Source organism: Homo sapiens, chromosome 18, assembly GCF_000001405.40.
Source record: "Homo sapiens chromosome 18, GRCh38.p14 Primary Assembly".
NCBI classification, from domain to species: Eukaryota; Metazoa; Chordata; class Mammalia; order Primates; family Hominidae; genus Homo; species Homo sapiens.
Window position 1 is genome coordinate 76,230,596 of NC_000018.10, and position 1,454 is coordinate 76,232,049.

The 1,454-nt window shown below is 48.2% G+C and overlaps 1 long non-coding RNA gene across 1 annotated transcript in view; it reads right to left on the bottom strand.

The window, feature by feature from the left end:
• Nucleotides 1-1,454, bottom strand: part of LOC105372210 (uncharacterized) — a 38,239-nt gene that overhangs the window by 13,574 nt on the left and 23,211 nt on the right. The window lies entirely within an intron of this gene.

The window sequence follows — 1,454 nt, forward strand, 5'->3', positions numbered from 1 at the left end:
CCCCGGGCTTCCCTGAGCATCCCTGCAATGCTGAGTAAACAGTGGTGGGACATTCGAGGGGCTGACTGACTTTTATTAAGGTTCCATTACCCCCAGGAAAAGGAAAACTTGAATTAGAAATTAAATCAAGTTACTAAAAACTGAAGATGCATATTTCTTCCACAAGAGTTTAGGCATTAAGAATTTTACCGCCTTTAAGTAACAATCTACAGCCTTCACACGAGGGTGTGCATTCCCCGGGGCCAGTGGGCTTTCCTGATTCATCTCTTTGCAGAGCAATCCACAAAAGAAAGCCTGCTTTGGCTGCAACGCCAGCACTTACAGACCAGAGCATCCTGTTCTGCACACTTTCGCCTTATTCGAAATGTGTGTATATCGTGTTCAAGTATCTAGAGCAGGAAGTGCAGACAGAGGGCAAGGGTCGCACCTGCATCACAGCGTGCTCCCCTCAGAGTCCTGCTGTCCTAGGACAGGCTGCCCAGTGACCAGTGGCCACGCCGGCCCCCAGGGATGGATGGAGAGCTCTGAGTAAATGTGATCTCTTCATCTGTACACGGAAAACCTTTTGGAAAGGGTATGCATGTTGTCCTTATCCCTCAGTGTCCACGGAGCCCTGGGGATAAGGAATCATTCACAGAAATCTTCAGGAGAGTCTTGAAAACCCACTTAGTCATCCACACATGCTTCAGAAATTATTCACATAAGTTAGGAACCCAGAACATTTGGGCTGATTTTGTTATTTGTTGTATTTCTCTCTTTACGTTCATTTTTATCCTCCAAGTTCCTTTCCTCTTATGCTAATAATTATCTGCCTTGAATGGATAAAAAGTGAAGACCCATTTCCTTCTGATTAGTCTGCCAGTCTTCAATGGGTCTTCTTGCCTGATCTATGCATTCCTTCTTACCTCCAGCCTCAGGGCCAACTCAGGTGATCCAGTTGATCTCACACCTGGATTCCCGCAGTAACTTCCAGCCCCGCCTCCAGACACACCCCAGCCTGGTCTGCTCTGCTTTCAGCTAGGTCACTCTTCTCAATCACTTCCTTTCTCTTCTTACCCTTGACTGCCTGCCACAGGTCAATCAAGCTGGCAGCAGTGATACAAACCCTACTGCAACCAGACTGGCCAACGTGTTCCCTTTCCCCTGGCCACAGAGAGATCATGGTTCAGGCCGACCACAGCCTCCCATTCGGCTCTCTAGAACTTAACCTTGCAAGTTGAGGCTGCTCACCCTCTGTGGCCTCGGGGTCATCAAGACTGGATGTTCCCTAAGGCCTCTTTCAAATGTGCATAAGCAGAGACATTATGTGGAGGAGGCTATGCTGCTGGAGTCGAAAGGGGTCTTAAGTGCCACCATGACACCTCTGTTTATGCAAACTCCACATGCAGATGCCCTGTGCCAATTTCTCTGCCTCCATTTCCTCATTGTAAAATGGGTATCACAACAGCACTCAC